Source organism: Homo sapiens, chromosome 4 (genome assembly GCF_000001405.40).
Source record: "Homo sapiens chromosome 4, GRCh38.p14 Primary Assembly".
NCBI lineage: Eukaryota > Metazoa > Chordata > Mammalia > Primates > Hominidae > Homo > Homo sapiens.
The window spans coordinates 51,847,380-51,865,753 of NC_000004.12; the positions used below are offsets into that span (position 1 = coordinate 51,847,380).

At 39.9% G+C, this 18,374-nt stretch overlaps 1 protein-coding gene and 1 pseudogene across 23 annotated transcripts in view, besides 1 other annotated feature; one reads left to right on the plus strand and one right to left on the minus strand.

The window, feature by feature from the left end:
• DCUN1D4 (defective in cullin neddylation 1 domain containing 4) overlaps nt 1–18,374 on the plus strand; it is an 82,954-nt gene that overhangs the window by 13,496 nt on the left and 51,084 nt on the right. For 16 of the 23 annotated variants that reach the window (XR_007096386.1, XM_047449871.1, NM_001040402.3 and 13 more), the window contains exons 2-3: nt 16,058–16,128; nt 16,291–16,330. Coding sequence is in view for 13 of the 23 variants with exons in the window: in NM_001040402.3 (NP_001035492.1) it covers nt 16,058–16,128; nt 16,291–16,330 (111 nt within the window). In the remaining 10 variants the exon portion in view is untranslated. Of the gene's footprint in view, nt 1–825; nt 989–1,042; nt 13,285–14,330; nt 14,355–16,057; nt 16,129–16,290; nt 16,331–18,374 lie in introns of those variants that run through there. The other 7 variants (XM_047449872.1, XM_047449873.1, NM_001287757.2 and 4 more) reach the window with 6 other exon arrangements.
• Nucleotides 6,076–6,977: an enhancer, noted in NCBI's record as "H3K27ac-H3K4me1 hESC enhancer chr4:52719621-52720522 (GRCh37/hg19 assembly coordinates)". NCBI's record gives its function as "activates a minimal SCP1, AML or CMV promoter by ChIP-STARR-seq in naive H9 embryonic stem cells {active_cell/tissue: H9 hESC(naive)}" and the evidence as "EXISTENCE:reporter gene assay evidence [ECO:0000049][PMID:30033119]".
• Nucleotides 17,674–18,156, minus strand: DUTP7 (deoxyuridine triphosphatase pseudogene 7; annotated as a pseudogene).

Genomic DNA, 18,374 nt, shown 5'->3' on the forward strand with positions numbered 1-18,374 from the left:
TCAAAGAAGAGAACAAAACTAATAAATTTTATTCATTTGGTAAATGAAGCTGCAGTAATTTTAATAACCCACACTGAAATCCTGGACATTTCTTATCCTCTTCTTCCCTGGTCAGTGGCAAGGAGAGATTGCATCTCTTCCCATGCCCAGCCTCTCTTTCCCATACCTATTGCCATGGCCTTATGTCTGAGACAGCCTTTCTTACAGTGTTATAATAACCAGCAATACATTTTTCTTTCTTTTTTGTTTTTTTTTTTTTAGAGGTTGGGTCTTGTTATGTTGCCTAGGCTGGACTCGAACTCTGGGCTTCAGGGGTCCTTCCACCTCAGTCTCTGAGTAGCTGAAGTTATAGATGCACGCCACTGCACCCGGCTCCAGCTGCCCTCAGTGCTGCTGTTTTAGAATTTTTCTTTACTGTGCTCCCTCTCTAGCAGACTCTCCTTTCATGGAATCTCTGAAGCAGTGCTTCCTTCTGTTACTCAGTTTTATGTTACATAACAATAGCTGCTTGTTTACTTTTATTTCCCCTCCCCAATTAGATTATTACCTTTTTGAGATCTGGGACCATGTCTTACCCAGTATCCACTTTAGCATCTAGCATGATGCCTTGCATAGCTACCCAAATATGTATTGAATTGAACTTAAATGATCAACTATTGAATAACTTGTGCATTATCTAGAAAAATTAATTCTTCCTGTTCCTGTTGTCTTTCATTATCTTTAGATTTTTCTTCAAGGAACACAAGCTTTCACCTACTCATTCTTTGCATTTTTTAGACAAAGTCAGTTGTATGCAAACTAATTTAATATTTTTCAAACATGCAGATATCAGTTTTAGAGAATGTGGCGTGGAGAAATTCTCAAGGAAAGAGTAAAATGCTGGTGATGTGCTGAGGGAACAGAAGGAGTGTTTGTGAATGTGCACACGTCCGTTTCTGGTCTCTCGTGTCAGCGTCCTACCTGCACAAGGTTAAGGCAGCATTAACAGGTCTGATGTTAAGGGGCCTAGAGTGTTTGTCCTTTTCCCTTCTTTTTGTTTTATATCCATATTCTGGTCCTAAGGATTTATTTCTTAAGTTAACAATATAGTGAGATCACTGAAAGTCTTTCTTCAGATTTACAGAGTAAAATTTTCTTTGATGAATCTGACATAAATGCTGGTAAATTTTTATAGTTGGTCAACTCGAATTGGTATTAATTCTTCTCATAGCTTGCTTTTTTTCTTTTGAAATTTACATTAGGAGAAGTACCTCTTGAGAAGTATTCTAAGCAGAACATGTATTTTAAAATGTGTTTTAAGAAGGAAAACATTGAAATGCATTCTAAATAGAATTAGGTATTTTAACAATCATTGTGTGACAGTTTTAGATGTAGCAAAGTATCTGCTACTTCAGGTTTGAATTGCTTTTAATCAGAAAATGCTGTTAATGAGTTATGTTCAATCTAGGAAGATAGGCTTGTCATTTGTAACTAATGTACTGAAAAAAACACTAGATATGAAAAAGACCCCTGCCCTCTTCAAATAGCATTACCTGTGGTATGATTTATTTTAGTTCTGCCTTCGAGGATTTTTTTTTCCTTGTGAAATTTTTTGCTGGCCTGTATCAGTAGATTTGCAGAGACGGGGAGTAATCCATTTGTGCTTCTCCCCCTGCCCCACGACCACAATTGTTGGCTTTTAACATATGTCATCTTAGGCCTCCTCCATATTAGTTTATGATTAGTGTCTGTAATGGACACTGTCAGTCCATTGACTCTTGGTCTGATTGGAGAATTCTTACCCTGGCAGGCAGATCTTCTCAGACACACTCGCCTGAGACTGTGAACCTGAGGCTGGAGGCAAGGAAAGAAGAGTAGCCCATGTGGCCATTTTCTGGGGGGATGCACAGTGGTGGCTGCTGTGCTGCTTCTAGAGGCAAGGTCTAGTTGTTGCTGCAATGATGATGCAGTCTGCTGTGTCCCCTTAGGCATTGTTATGGCCAGGGGGAGATTCTGTGAACTGTCTAATAGCCGCCTCCCCTTTTTTTAAATCACTTTTCTGTTTAAATTACCTAGAATTAGTTTCTGATGCTCTCAACTAAGAATTCTGATACTTCAGCATCCAGACTTGTCACTGTCGCTGGTCAGATACGTGGTAGAAGCCCTTGTGAAGAGCAGTGATGTATCTTTTTCATCCTGGCTGCCTGTACATTCTGGTCAGAGGTGACCCAGAGGACTGGAGGAGGACACAGTCGATATCAGCTGTGGGTCGTGGGAGCTGTGTTTGCTGGTGGTCAGGCAGGACTCCCGAACCACACACTAGCCCAGCCCACTGGGTCTCATCATGTGCCACTCTTTACTGCTGCTTTTTCCTAATTCTTTGTCCCCCAAAAGTTGGGATGCCTAGGAGCTAATACATAACTCCTTGTGCATTTTTTTTTTGGCTCTGATGTGGGAATATTAGCTACAGAAATATGTGTGTGTGTGCGTGCGTGTGTGTGTGTGCGTGTTTTAGTGGAATGTTTATTTTGTTTAGCCAAAAATTACATCTGATGTACCAAATACCTTTTTAGTCAACATTATTTAGGTATAATTTCACGTATTATAAAATTATACTCATTTTAAGTGTTGTTGGGTGAATTTACTAAAGATATAGAACATTTCATTACCCCAAAAGTTCCCTTGTGTCCCCTTGTAGTCAGTGCTTCTCCTCCTGCCCCACTACCACAATTGTTGGCTTTTAACATATGTTACCTTAGGCCTCCTCCATATTAGCTGATGATTTGTCACTTTGCTGTTCCTGAGGATATTACAGTATAATAAAGGCATGATAAATCTCTCGTTTTTACTGAACTATGAAATCCAAAGAAAAACTATCAGTGCTGTATAAATTATCAGTCTGATAAATAATACTTTGCCGCACAGAAGTGTCTTGAGTTAGATGACTTGTTCTGGTGAGCGGCTTTCCAGTGGATGGCTTTTCTGGCTTCTCTGTGGCCTGTAGACATGCAGGGCTCGGGTTTTCTCCCTGGATGTGATGATGTCTTTTAATTGTTATCTGGGTCAGGTTGGGAGGCAAGAAAGCCAAAATGGCTGAATTCAAATCCTTGCTCTGTCATCTCCTAGCCAAGGGACTGGAGTAGAGTTACCCAGCTGCTCTGTGTGCGCTTCAGAGCCCTCATGCCTAAAAATTGCCTGTTGAAGGCTGTTCAGTCACCAAGTGTTTATTGGGTATCTACTATGTACCAGGCCCTGCTCTTCATATTTCATGAAGTTTTCCTTTTAGTGTAGGGGAGGGGGCAGATAGTAACAAGTAAATTGTGTAATACGTCAGATGGTGATAGGTTCTGTAGAGAAAAACAGCAGGGAAGGGGTGCATGCAGGCACCCCTGTGTGCGGGCGTGGGGTGGGGTGGAGGGTGTTGTAATTTTAAATAGTGGAGCCAGGAAAGGCTTCACTAAGGAGGTTTTAAGCTAAGCCCTGATGGAGCTGAGGGGCCATTCCAGGCAGAGAGAATACAAATGCAGAAGCTCAGAGTGGGGAGCAGGCCTATATTTGAGGAACAGCAGAGGCTGGGGTGCTTAGAGTTGTGGGGGAGGGCAGAGGGAAGAAAGTAGGAGGCAAAAATCATAAGTGGTCCAAAGGATTAAATGAGATGAAACACGTAAAGTGTTTTTGATGCTTACAATTACTGTGTGATGACAGTCTCCTAGGTAGCCTTTAAAAAATCACTCTTGAGAAGAAAAGTTATAAGAAAGAACAGAACCAAATGAGGCATTCCCTCACTCAGCCATTCAGCAAACATTCAAGGGGATTTTTGCTGCCAGGTGCTGCTGTCACAGGCAGGACTGTGTGGGGGAGACCGGGGCTTCAGGAGCTTCCTTCAGTGAGTTCATTGTGGAGACAGAAGGAATGGATGCATGGGACGATGATGCCTGCTAGGTTAGATGGATGCCCCGGGGGCTTTGAGAACATGTGGGGAATGGTTAGCAGTTGTCATGTGAGTTTTAGCTTTTGAAGTTGGATTATGTGAAGAACAGGATGTGTATGCATGTGCAGGTGGCATATGGGGTCAGGTGGGAGCTTTCCAAGCCCAGCGACAACATGGCATGGTGGGGACAGAGAACTGTGGCAGGAGAGTGGGTGTTTGGTAGGCTAGAGTGGAGGGGAAGGTGAGGTGCAGGGCTAGGCAGGAGCTGGTGGCAGGGGTGGGGTGGGGTCGGTGGGAAGAACTCAAAAGAGGCACCAGGGAGAGTGTATGAGTGGAAAGGAACTGAGAGAAGGAAAGAGAAGTCCCAGGTGGGGCACAGGGAGGGAGGAGGAGCAAAGGGGAATGGGGAGGGACTAACACGAATTCAGTGATGATCTTGGATTTGCTTCAACTGCTTTGCCTGCATTAACTCATTTAATCCTCACAGCAACCCTCAATAAGTTAGGGACTGTTATTATCTCTGTTTCACAGATGAGGACGCTGAGGTGTAGAAAGGTTAACTCCCCTTCTCAAGGTCACACAGCTTATAAGTGGTGAATTGAGATTCTAACTCAAGCATTCTGACTCCATGGTCTTGGTAACCCTCTACTGCCACTGAAATCATTCTTAACATTTTGTTTGTGCTTTTCATTGAACCCTGATTGGAACACTGCATGTATATTGGAATTCTTTTTTTTTCTTTTGTCACTGGCCTATGAATGATGCTGACAGAGCCAGCTGATGGATTATCTCTTGGTTCTTTTCTTCTTGGAATGAGTCCCAGCAGGATCAGGATCTGGGATTTCTGAGTCTCTTCTTTCCCATTCTTCTTCATCCCCTCTCATTTTTGCTGGTTTGCTTACAATGAGAGTAGACATTTAAAAACTGATTTTAAGTGGGAAACTGAAGAATTGTGGCAAAGTATTTTCATACTCTTAACTAATGAAATAGTCATTTTTAGTCTTCTTAGATTTTATTTAAATAGACTTTGTTATTTTTAAATATAGGAGATCTCAACGACATTGCAGCAAAACTAGAAAACAACTACTAACATCATTTTTACATAACATTTTTGAAATTATTTTTATTTTTTTTCCTGTAGGTTAGGGTAAGTTTAATGTCTTGTCCTACATATGCAATTCCCAAAATTAAGCCACAGATCACTTCTTAATTATTAATTAAACAGGAAACGGGATAGTTGTACATTTAAGTCCAATAGCTAGTGAATTAGTAGTTTTAAACACCATCACCTTGTGATCTCTTCTGCCCTGTCTTTTTGTAGTTCTAGGTTCAGTCTGTCTCAGTGTCTTCTACGTTCTAAATAATAATAGGGATGAAAACAATTAACGTTGATTGGCACATAATATGGACCAGCACTGTGCTAAGTGCTTGACATGCACCATCTCATTTAATAATCCCCACAGTAGCTTCGCAAAGAGGTTCTGTTATTTCGGCTTTATGGATGAGGACACGGGCACAGTGAAGTTTGGAAGCATGTACAGGGTCACTCAGTTGGGACTCAGTTGGAGCTCTGACTCCAACCCAGGGCTTTATGTTATCAGAGCTGATTGACATTCTTTAACCAAAATCTGGGCTCATTTAACATTAGTGAGATGGAAAGATTTTTACTGTGAACTACCCAGTGATTCTGTGTGCTTCAGTGGGTAGTACAGATCATTTGTGCTCACCTTCAGTGGGTAGGTGGGGTGAGGAGAATGAAGCTAGGGCCCTTTGTACCATGTCACATTGGGAGTGCAGCCAGACGGGTGTCCTGAAGTGACTGAGTCCCTTGGGATAGCACCAGCAGGCACAGGCAGTGTGGTGGGCGATGGATGGATGCTGCCTCCCTTGGGCGGATGGTTTCTTCTCCCAGCCCCTTTTTTGAGTCCTGCAAGAGGAAGAAAAAGCCAGCAGCAATATGCTTGGATAGCTTTAACTTTGGATCTGTGTTCAGTGAAAATGCTGAGTCACTTTGAATGACCTGTTCCCTTATCAATTTTCTCCTTTGGCTTTTGTGCCTTGTAAATAGCAAATATTTATTGATGAGGAGAATGAAGTTAGTTAACACCTTCCTCACCTGCTACTTTCAATTCTTTTGGTTTTTACCCTGCTTTTCAGCTCTGCAATCTTTTTCCTGGACCTTGGCCTTTTCATCGTGTGCTGATAGGGTATGGTGAATGAGTTAGATTCCTGTCTAGCAGTGCTGAGGTTGTTCCAGGAGTGGATTGGCTACTGGCACGCCAGGGATTGAGTTGAGAGTCAGGGATAGAATCTACTTCTCTGGTTGCATGTTAGAATCACCTGGGCTGCTTGAGAAACACGTGGTGCCCCACACCCATTTTTATTTAATTGATCTGGATTGGGGCCCTGGTATTTGGTGTTTTTCAGTCTTCTTAGGTGATTCCACTGTGTAGCCAATGGTTTCATTTAAATATTAATAGCTTAATTAGGAAGCTGGGTTTATTTTGGGCTGTGGAGATGGGGCTCAAAAGATGCAGCAGCTCCCCCATGGGCACTGCACTGGGCAGATCGTGCAGACCCTTCCTGCTCGCCTATGACATAATAGCCAATTCTTGGTAGTGCTTCCCCTGTGCCACGCACTGTTTGAAGCACAGTGCAGCATTAACTCATTTAATCCACACGATATCCTTATGAGGCAGGCACTGTGATTATCCATTTCGTAGAAAAAGAAATTCCTACTTGTAGCCATGAAGGACATGTAGTATGAAACTGACCCATAAACCTAGGTTTTGGTTTTTCCTAGATTTACAGTATAGAAAACATTTCAGATCTTTGTGTTTTAGTAATTTAGCCTCAAATGTGAATATATTTGTTTTTACAAATGAAACTGAGACCTGTGCCATGTCATGTAGCTAGTGACTATCAGTTAGCATACAGAGTTGTAAATTGGTATTGTAAATCATTTAAAACACTACTTTTTTATGGTTTTGACATAGATTTTACTTTATGGTACATTTTATATTTCAGGTTATTTGAGATGTACCTCATTTTTAAGGGAATCTTTTTTACTTAAAATTGTATTTTGTACTTTTTAAAAACATATGTACTATGATCTTTGAGTGCATATTAGATCTTCACTGACTTGTGATCTGACCTGCCTCTTCACATTCTGGCTACTGTAACCCTCCAGGATACTAAGCAAAACTAATAGCAGCATTTGAAGCATGCTCAAGTCCTGCCATTGTAAAACCCAAACTCCTTCAAACCCACATGCATTTCTAGTCTCCCCTTTAATAGCCAACTTATTGAACAAGTTGTCTTTGCCTGACATAGTCTGTATTTCTTCATCACTCATACAATCCTCAGCCCACTTTGTTCTGGTCTCAGTTCTGTCATTGCAGTCTTTGAGGTCATGGAGTAACCTCCATGTTGCTAAATTCAGTAACTATTTTTAAAGCATTTATTCCCCTATTTATTGGTACCTGCCTTGTGCTAGGTTTGTGCTGTTGTAGGTACAGGTCAAGTGTCCTTTATCTGAAAATCTGAAACCCAAAATGCACCAAAATCTGAAACTTTTTGAGTGCTGACATGACACTTAGAGGAAATGTTCATTGTAGCATTTCAGATTTTTGGATTAGGAATGTTCAGCTGGTGAGTATAATACAAACAACAAAACCTGAAGAAATCTGAAATCTGAAATGCTCTGGTCCCAAGCATTTCTGATAAGGGATACTCCAAAAGATATTGGGATAGAGTAGTGAATAAAGCAAAAGGAAGTCCCTATCCTCATGGAACTTGGGCTCTAGGAAGAGTGACAAAGACATAAATAAATATTTAATATAATGTCAGGATCATGAAAGACCTCCTGTTGTGTGACTCTGCTGATATAAAATGTCTAGAATAGGCAAATCTATAGAGACAGAAAGTAGATTAGTGGTTGCCTAGAGCTGAAGAGGGGTGAAGGGAGAAATGGGGAATGACTGCTAATAAAAAATGTTTTATTATTAGATTGTGGTGATGTTTGCACAACTCTGAATATACTGAAACCATTGAATTTTACACTATAATGAGTGAATTCCATGCTATGTGAATTATATTTCAAAGCTTTTAATATCAGGAAGTGGTAAGTGCTATGAAAAAAATCTAAATCCACTGGGAGATGGAGGTACTGTTTTGCATAAAGAAGTTAGATGAGACATCTCTGATGAGGTGACATTTAAATAGATATTTCAGGAAAGATAGCTGTTGGGCCTGTGAACGTCAAGGGTCATGGAGGCTGAGGGGCACAGTAAATGCAAAGGCCTTGAGGTAGGAATTCACTTGAATATTCACGAATTGTGTGGCTAGAATGGAGTAGGCAAGGATAATGGAATGGGATGACTTAGGTCAGATCACGTAGAGCCTTGTGAGGACTAGAATTTTTTTTCTTTTATGCTGCAATAGCAAATACAACATCTCAGTGATTCAAGTAAAAGGTTGTAATGCATCCTTTGTGGGTTGGAATGGGTCTCTGCTCCACATCGTTGACATTCTCATCCCTAGTCTATCTGAAACCCATGGAAAAGAGGGCATGTGTTTCTAGAAGGAAGGAAACAAGGCAAATCTAAAGAGTGGCTCCCAACCACAGTGCAGCCTTGGCTTTAACAATTTTTGTTTTCTTTTCCCATATCACGTGGTACAATTGACTTTTCAGGAGGCTGAGCCATGTGACCCATGGCTTGAAACACCCTTAAGCATTCCCTGATGAATCCCAGTTAGAGAGGCAGATCCCTATACCTCAGTCGTGTTCTTGTTCTGTTCCAGAGACATTTAGATGAGTGCCAAGGTTAGATGGTAACCTTTAATTTTGTCCAATTTTGTTTTGCTTTTTTGGCAATAACATGGTCACTATTTTGCCCTTTCCTTCTGCCGCCTTTACAGGTTTATTTCATCATTTTCATCGTCACTTGAAAAGCATTTGTTAAGAGCATAATACTGTTTAAAACTTTTATATCTGAGAGAATTGTTCAGCTGTAGTTTAATAATAAAACACTTTGATGATGCTTTAGTGACCAGAAGAGCGAATTGTGCTTAAAAATAGAAAGTTAACACTGGTGTTAAATCTTTTCTGTACCATTATTTCCCTGGGGGAAAAATGGTGAATTGTTTTAGATTCAGCCAGTTTTAAAATTTTTTTCTTTAATATTAAATTACTTTAAGTGTGTGGTTGCTTGTTGACAGCTTTGGTTAGGAAACGTTGCTGCTTTTTTCCTATTACAGAGTGTAAAGTTAGATTGATATTTTTGCTTTTATTGGAAATAATTTAGAATGGAAGAAGTAGCCTTGGATTGGGAGTTAGAAGATAAGAGTTTTGCCCAGCTTGGCCATAGCTAGCTCTCTGACTCCGCTCAAGCTAATAAAATGAGAATTGGACAAAAGAACATGAACCATTGAGTGCCTCACTTGCTCATCTCTCACATGCAGTCCTGTTAGTTTTTCCTTACACTGCAATCACATTTTATATAGAGGTTGGTTCTAAAGTCCCTGTGTAAGGTGAAGATCATTGGTGTTAAAAATACCACTGGAAACACTTGCAGAAGATTCCTCTTTGGAAGCTGTCTCAGAAGAATCCAGCACAGCCTATTCCTTCCTCCAGCATTGGAATAGATCTCTGGCTGTTTATTTGAGCACCAGTTGAAGCATCTGGCCTCGTCTTCAACTTCAGTTTAGGGACCATGTTTTATGAAAATACATCACTTTAAATACTCGACTCATACCGTATTGTGAGATGCACAAAATCTGATTGGCATGTGGAAACTGAGACCAACAGAGTGACTATTCATGTGTCATGTCTCGTGCTCATTAAGTAGAAGGGAGGGTGGGCAGTTAGTGAGACAACTGAAATTTCTTTTCATCTCGCTTCTTCCTTTTTTATTTTTTTTGACCAAATGAGAAGAGTTGAATTTGTGTAAGCTAAATATCTATTTTCTGCAACTCCAGTGTACTCAGAATCTCTCCTCTCCATTTTTACAGCCAGTGTCTAACTTACGGCCCTAATGCTTTCCCACCTCAGTCACTTCTAGTCATCTCCATAAATGGCCACTCTAAATTCAGATCACCCATCATCTTTGCTGCACACTTGTCCTAGAGTGATCTTTTTAAATAACTCTCCTGATCAGAACACCTCCATGGCACCAAGACTCTCAAAGGAGTGCTTCTCAGACTTCCCACCAATGTTTTCCTGTACAGAGTTTGGTGGAATAAGTTGTTTCAGGGTCCTGGGAGCACAGCTTGATGTGGGGATTATGTTTGTTTTCATGTAAGACTGTCATATTATTGCTGATTAGAATTGATGCTGCTGGAATGTGCCATTCCTGTCATTACGTTTGCATGGTCTCTGGTGCCTGTGTTTGAGGTACAGATCCTTAGGAGATTAAATCTAAACGCTCAAGCAGGATTCACAAGTTCTTCATTTTCTGATCTTTGCCTTCCTGTTCAGTCTCCTCTTACCATGACACTTCTCACATTTGAAGATCACTTGAAGTGCCCTGAATGTATTGAATTTAAGCCTTTGGTGCCTTTGTATCTGCGTTTATTCATTTGTTGAATATTTATTGAGCACCTAATATGTGCCAGGTACTCTTCTAGGTATTAATATTACGGGATACAGCAATGGGCAAGATTTAAGTCTTGGCCCTTGTGGAGCTTACATTCTAATGGGAGAGGATGATGACAAATATATAATATAATGTCAGATGGTATTAATGCTGTGAAGAAAAGCAAAGCATGGTAAGATGATAGAGTGAAGATGGGGCTCTGTTGGTCTGGCAAGGTTATGTAAGGAGGTGATTTTTAAGAATTTTATCCTTAATTGACAAATAATTGTATATATTTACGGAGTACAATGTGATGTTTTGATACATGCATAATTGTGGAGTGATCAAATCAGACTAATTAACATATCCATCAAAGGTGATATTAAAATGGAAACCTGATGAAGTATGAGAGCAACCATGTTATTATTAGGGGGAAGAGCGCTCAAGGTAAGGAGAACAGCACGTGCAAAGGCGCTGAGGTGGGAGTGTTCTTGGAGTGTTAATGGAGCAGTAGGAAGCTCACTGTGGCTGAGTAGAATGAACAAGGGGAAGATGAGTAGAAGATGAGATTGGAGAGATTAGCAGATGCAGGGTGTACAAGGCCCTGAGCCCATGATAAGTTTTCTTTTGCTTTGAACAGCTTCCCCTTCCATCTGTAACTATTGGGTGAGGTGGAATTAATTTTAATTTGTTCTACATGCTGACCAGTTGCCCCTCTGTTTACTGAATTATTATGTCTTCTCCATTGAGTTTGAAATGCCATTTAATTATATGTTGTGTATGTGTATTTATACGTATATGTTTATCAGCTCTCTGTCATTGATTTTTCTTCTTGCACACATAGTATAACATTTTAATTACTGTACCTTTATACCAGGTCTTGGCAAACAATGGCCCATGGGGCAAATCCAGCCCTACCACCTGGTTTTTATAAATAAAGCTTTATTGGAAAGCAGCCATACTTACGTATTGTTTATGGCTGCTTTTGAGCTACTATGGCAGTGTAGTTGCAACAGAGACTGTATGGGCCAGAAATCCAGAAATATTTACAATCTGGCCCTTCATACAGAGTTTACCAGGCTCTGCTTTATACTGTGTATTGATATCTGATAGGGCAAGTTCATCCTCATTCTTTTTCAACAATTTCTTGGCAGGCCTAACATGTTTATTTCTCCAGATGAACTTTAGAATCAATCTGCCAAGCTTGCCTGACTTCCTTCTTTTCCCCACCTCTTTTTGGGGTGGAGAACTGGGGAGCCAGCAGAATAGGAATTTTGATTGCATTAATTTGTGGTTTAGTGAAGGGAGAAGTGATTGCTTTACAACGTTGGGTCTTTCTATTCCAGAAATATCTCTTTACGTGTATATCTTTCAGTAAACTTTAATTGTTCATTCTGAACAATAAAATCATACATATTGGAGTTTATTCCTATATGTATTGTTGCTTTTTGTTGCCATTATAATTGCGTTCTTGTCCCAGTTATATTTTGCAAGTGACTATGGTATAAAGGGAAGTTTTTGCTTTTTATGTATTTAAATTCTGTTTCTAACCCTCTTATGAGAGTAAACTATTAGGACTGTTAATTTTTGTTTCTTTTGATTGAGAGTCATTGTCTGAACTTACCAATAATTGTTTTATTAATGTTTATGTCTCCCCCTGTATTGTGTAGTTTTCTTACCTAGAGTAGTTTGGGGGAATGGACTTTGACCCCCTCAATGGCATTCATTTTTTTTTCTTTTGTGTAGGTCACAGCAAATGGTAGTTAAAACAAGCAAAAAAAAAAAAAAAAAAAAAAAAAAACCCAGACAAGTTTATGCCCAATCAGCAGTTGTTGGTAGTTTTAAGAAAATCCAGAAGATAATCTAGGCAAGCTATTTATCAAGCAGGCTGTGCCTTTGTAGAGCTGATTGCTGGTTTTAATACAGACTATAGAGTTGCCATGTCACACAGGAGAGTCAGACTCAGCACTGCTTTACTTTGGAGAGCCGTCTGATCATGGAATGCAGTCAAAACCCAGCATTTATCCTTTGGAATTGAAATACGAGCAGAAGGAGATTTTTATCAATCAGTGCTTTCCAGAATACGTTCTCGGTAAAGCATTTGATCTTTACCCTTAACATCTAGGCCTTAAGGAGGTGAAATCTACTGTAGATTTCAAGGGCTATTACTTGCCATGAGCATTGAACAGATGAACTGTAAATCCAATGTGTGTTAACCTTTGTGAATCTATCTTTTAATGACATTTTTGTCTTTTTTTTCTCCTGAATTTGTGTCTTAACTTCTCCTTATGTTGATGAGACGAAAGAAAAATTATCCATGTTACTGGTTTCATTTCTTCCTTTTTCTTTTTTCTTTTTTTAGTTGAAGTGATGATGATGTGGTAGCAATAGGGATTGGATATAGAAATGGATAATTGGTGACATATATTATGTATTTGTGAAATGAACCTGTTTACTCTTGTTGCCTTTAGTAAAGTAAAACTTCATACGTGGAACCTGATTTTAAACATAATATCTGTATTTTTGTTCCTGTGTGTTGTGATTATCTGCAGTCAACATTATGAACATCAGTTGCTGGTATATGAGTCGCAGTGCCATTCTTGCATTACTATAAAGAAATACCTGAGACTGGGTAATTTATAAAAGAAAAGAGGTTTAATTGACTCACGGTTCTGCAGGCTTTACAGGAAGTATGGTGCTGGCATCTGCTTGGCTTCTAGAGAGTCTTACAATCGTGGAGGAAGGTGAATGGAGAGCAGGCACACCACATGGCGAAAGCAGGAGCGAGAGAGAGAAAGGGTGAGAGGAGGTGCCACACACTTTTAAATGACTGAACCCCATAAGAACTCACTCACTGTCTCAAAGACAGCACTAAGCCATGAGGGATCCGCCCCCATGATCCAAACACCTCTCACCAGGCCCCACCTCTGGCACTGAGAATTACAGTTCAACATAAGACTTAGGTGGGGACATATCCAAACTATATCACCATCATAGGCTAAAAGATGTACCAGGCCACCTGCCTCAATTACAGAGGAAGCTCTGACCTTGGGATCATTGATGTAAGGCGAGAATTGAACCTAGGAAAAGTTAGAGACTATTTTAGACAGCTGTGTGGTATGGAGAATGGTGTAAGTAAATATAGTCGGAATTGATGTCTTTTATTGAGCACTTACTATCTTCCAGGTATTGTAATGGGTACCTGACATACCTAGACATTGTAATAGGTGTCTGATAAATATTTTCAACCATACAACAACATTATGAAGGAGAATTTTTTATCCTCACTTTACAGATGAGAAAATTGGTAGACCTGAGATTTGAACCAGCTGTTAGACTCCAGAGTCAGGTTGTGAAGCAAAGTGGATTTTTGACAGGAATAGAGTGGTTTTGTGTGTGTGTGCAAGTGTGTGCACACATTTGAATTCTCTTGGGTGTAGGAAGGGCAGTGGGCAGAATGTGGGGTTGGAAGGAAGGGTTTTGTGGAGTGGGGTGGTGAAAGATGTTTGGAGTATGAGTTGGGCCCAGCTCACCGAAGTCCTGGAATTCCAGATTGAGGATAACTTGTGTTTCTTGTCTTTTCTACTTCTTCCACATTTATATAAAGGAGGGAGAAAGATATAACAGTTTTGGTTTATTTAGATTCTCTTATGGGAATTTTGGGAGTTTAATTAACAGCAGGGTGGTGAAATGACAAAAGCATAGCCTGGAGAGTTAGAAGAGACCTCATTGCTGGAATGGCTTTTGGCAAGCCCCTTTTTCTCTCCCCTCCCTTACCCTCAGTGAAAAGAGAATCAAGAGGCTAAAGTTTTCTCAGTTTTTGCTTTTTGTTTTTTTGGGGGCCCAAGAGTTTAACTTCATATTTTAAGGTGATAATGGAATGTATCATTTGTCTTCCTATATTTAATCTGAGAGAGTACAAAAAGGGGGCTATGGCTTGGTAGTGGATGGGGTGGAGGTGCAAGAGTTGAATGTTCAAGCTCCTCAGCACCTCTTGCTGGTCCTGAGAGGCCTCTTGCTGGTGAGAGGGCTGTAGCTTCTAGCTTCTACCCCTGTTCACGTTTAATAAATATAAATGTAAATAAATAGGTGTATAATACACATACTTTTCTAAACCTCTGTGCAGTCGTATTTAGATGAAAAATCCAGATTCTCAGCCACTTTATGTCATCATTTACCTTAAGCATGGCTGGGCTATTCAGATGCTAAGCAATTCAAGCATGTCTATATTGGAGGGCCATTTAGAGCTTGAGGCCCTGCTCTGGCTGTCTCTCAGCACAAAATGCTGGTTTTGGGGACCATTCTATATGGCTATGACTGTGAACAGTGCATATGCACATGTATGTATACAGGTATGACCTGCTGTTCCTGACACTGCATGTGAATGTGAGGGGCTCTGCTTCTGCCAGCCCCTCTGCCCTGCAGACCTACTCAGAACTGGATGCCCAACAAGCTTTAGAAGAGAAAGTAAAGCTTTCTAACTGTGAACAGGGAGGCCAGCTTGTTTTCAGGGTTCAGAGTAGCAGCACAGAGGATCCAGCCCAAGCACAGACACCTGATATTGTAGCACCTGCTCTTTGGATCTGTTCTTTGGATCTGATACGTGTCCTAAATAAAATGTTTCAGTAAAGGGAGCTTTTTTTCTTTCTTTCTTTTTGTCAGAATGGTATAACTTGGAGAGTTACAATATCTTTTCATGGTCATTTTCATACTAACCTTTAATAGGAAAGAAGGAACTAATGTAAATCCTGATATTTTGTGAAAATACTTCCAGTGGTACTTATATATGAAATTATTAATAAACTTTCAGCTTACATTTTTATTGCCTAATATATATGCAAACATACTTTACTTCAAGTTGAGGCTGCGCGTAGTGGCCCACACCTTTAATCCCAACATTTTGGGAGGCTGAGGCAGGAGGATCACTTGAACCCAGGAGTTCAAGACCAGCCTGGGAAACATAGAAAGACCCTGTCTCTACAAGAAAAAAAAAAAGAAAAATTAGCTGTGCATGATGGTGCACACTAGTAGTCCCAGCTACCATGCAGGCTCAGGCAGATCACTTGAGCCTGGGAGTCTGAGGCTGCAGTGAACCATGATTGCACCACTGCACTTCAGCCTGGGCAACGTAGTGAGATCCTGTCTCAAAAAAAGGAAAAGAAAAAATAAATACTAATGTTGGGATGCTTTTCTATCATTTTCTTGCCATGAGCTTACTTAATTGTACCAGTAATTCTAGGGAAGAGAGGGGAAAGTGAACATTTCATTTGAGACTTATCTTTCTATTAAGTTCAAGTTCACTGCTGGCAGGATTTTATAACTACTGAAGTACTTTTTGTTTTACCTTAGAATTCACATGAAAATTTCATGAACTTTAACATTTGGTTGGGAATTTAACTTTATTGTCAGACTATTTCTAGGAGGTCACTAATTGCATGTTTTTAAAAAACTTTAGTGTCAAATTAATTGAGATAGTATTTAATTATATCAAAACATTTGTTTATTTTCTGAGTTTGTTTTTTTACAATATTGGAAATAAATGACGCTGACATTTTTCCTTTTTCTTTTCAAGATTTTCAGCTGAACTCTCATCTCTCAACACTGGCAAATATTCATAAGATCTACCACACCCTTAATAAGCTGGTAAGTCATTCTTTTAAAGACAAAATTACCAACTGTTTGAAGTAGTCATTTTGTATAAGTGTATTTGATAAAAATTTAGATTCTAGATATTAGGATATCAGTTGTTTATGAAAATGCTAACGGTATGTGATTTCTTCGTAATAACGAACATATTTCTTTCAGAACCTAACAGAAGACATTGGCCAAGACGATCACCAAACAGGTATCTGTAAATGCTAACACTACTTAATTTTAAATAGCTTCTTAATATTAGGAAAGAGAAATACTAGCTATGAATGCGCTATGTTGTCATAATGTACTCCATTAACAAATTGTTCCTTGGCTGAGGTTGTTTTTCAGGGAGTAATGAAGGCAGCCATGTTATAGCTTCTTCCCAGTAGGAAATCTCTTCTGGAAGCACTTTTTAATGCCTTTAAAGAGGCTCGGGATTCTCATAGTTTCAAGATACCTTGTTTTCTCTACTGCAGTATTTTCATTTATATTAAAAAGGTGCTACAGTAATGCAATTTGAAAGGTATTCCACAAATATTTGAGAAATTCAGCTGAAAAATGATTTAATATGGTGTGTGTGTATGTGTTCATAGTTACTGAAGATTTAGAAATCAGAAAATTGAAGCTTGATTAGTATAAGTTATCCTCTAACCCTGTGGTTCTCAGAGTTTAGCTGGCATTATGATCACCTGAGGGAAGGCCTTGTTTAAAGTACAGATGTTAGGTTCCACCCCAGAGTTTCTGGTTCTGTAGACTTGGGGTGGGGCCCCAGAGTTTGCTCCTATGTGATGCTGATGGAGCTGGTCTGGAGACCACTCTTTGAGAACCACTTCTCTCAACTGTTAGTAATCATCAAGTCCAGAAACTTGCATTTGATCTATGGTTACTAAAATCCTAGCAAAAATTATTTAAACACATTTTAAAGTTTTTGAAAATGGCCATAGTAATAGACGAATTGAAATTTGTCTTAGTCTGGGCTGCTGTAACAAAAATACCTTAAACTGAGTAGTTTATAAACAATAGAACTTGATTGTTCATGGTTCTGGAGACTGGTAAGTTTAAGGTGAAGGCACCAGCAGATCCTGGGTCTGGTGAGGGTCTGTTCCTCACTGATGGTGCCTCTTGCTCACTGCATCTTAACATGGCAGAAGGGGCAGGCAGCTCCCTCAGGCCTCTTTTATAAGGGCACTAATTCCATTAATGAGGGCTCTACCTCCCTGACCTAATTGCCTCCCAACTCTACCTCTTACTACCAGCAGTCTGGGGATTAGCTTTCAGCATGTAAATTTTGGAGGGGCACAAACTTTCAGGCCATAGCAGTGCTTGTTGGGGAATTTTGAATAGCACAAAAGTAAATAGAGTGGAAAGTTACAGTCGTCTTTTAGACAACTATTTAGACGTCTCTTTAGATGACTAAATAGAGTGAAAAGTGACAGCTGTCACTTTCTGCCAGCACATGGTTTAACATTGGTTCTTTCAGACTTTTTTTTCAAAGCAAAAACTCTTTAAGAAAAAGGTATGATTTCTCATTTTCTATTCTTAGCATAAGTTTTAATTCTTTCCAGTGGAACCCAAACCTCCTGAACCTCTTTCAGTGTCATCCAAAGCTTTGAACTTCTATTTCTGGATAAAGATTTGTTCACAAATGAACTGCAGTTCAATCACCTTTTTTGACTTCAGACTTTTCTTTGCCAAAATAAAACAGTACAGCACCAGCATTTCCTCTGTAATCTTCCTTTATGATACCACCTCCTACATCTATAAAGTGTTTTGCAGCCAAGCCAGCGTGGAGCTACTCTTCCACAACACCTGGAAGGAGGAGCTCTATCTAAATGTCTGTTCACAAGAGCTTTCTCCATAGGTGGTATTGTATCATCTTAGGCACTGTACAGGTCATAGCCTGCAGCCTGTACAGACCCTCAGGTCAGGCCGTGGTATGCTTGGAGAGCTGGGCAAGGCAGAGCTGCATGCTGACCTCCTCCACAGACCAGAGAGCTTGCTGGGGGAAATGGCAGGTATCTCTTTAGAGAAGGGCATGGCAGAACGAGAAGGTGAGCGAAGGAGGGAATGAGAGGGTGCAGGATCCCTTCTCACATTTGTATGCATGCATATATGTTTATAGTCGTGGTTTTTAATTTAGCATTGGTGATATCATACTGTACGTGTTATAGTGTGTTTTTCTTTTTCATTTAATGGTGCATTTTGGGGGCTGTTGAGATTTAAGACTGTCCCCACCTTCTCTAAATTGGTTCAGA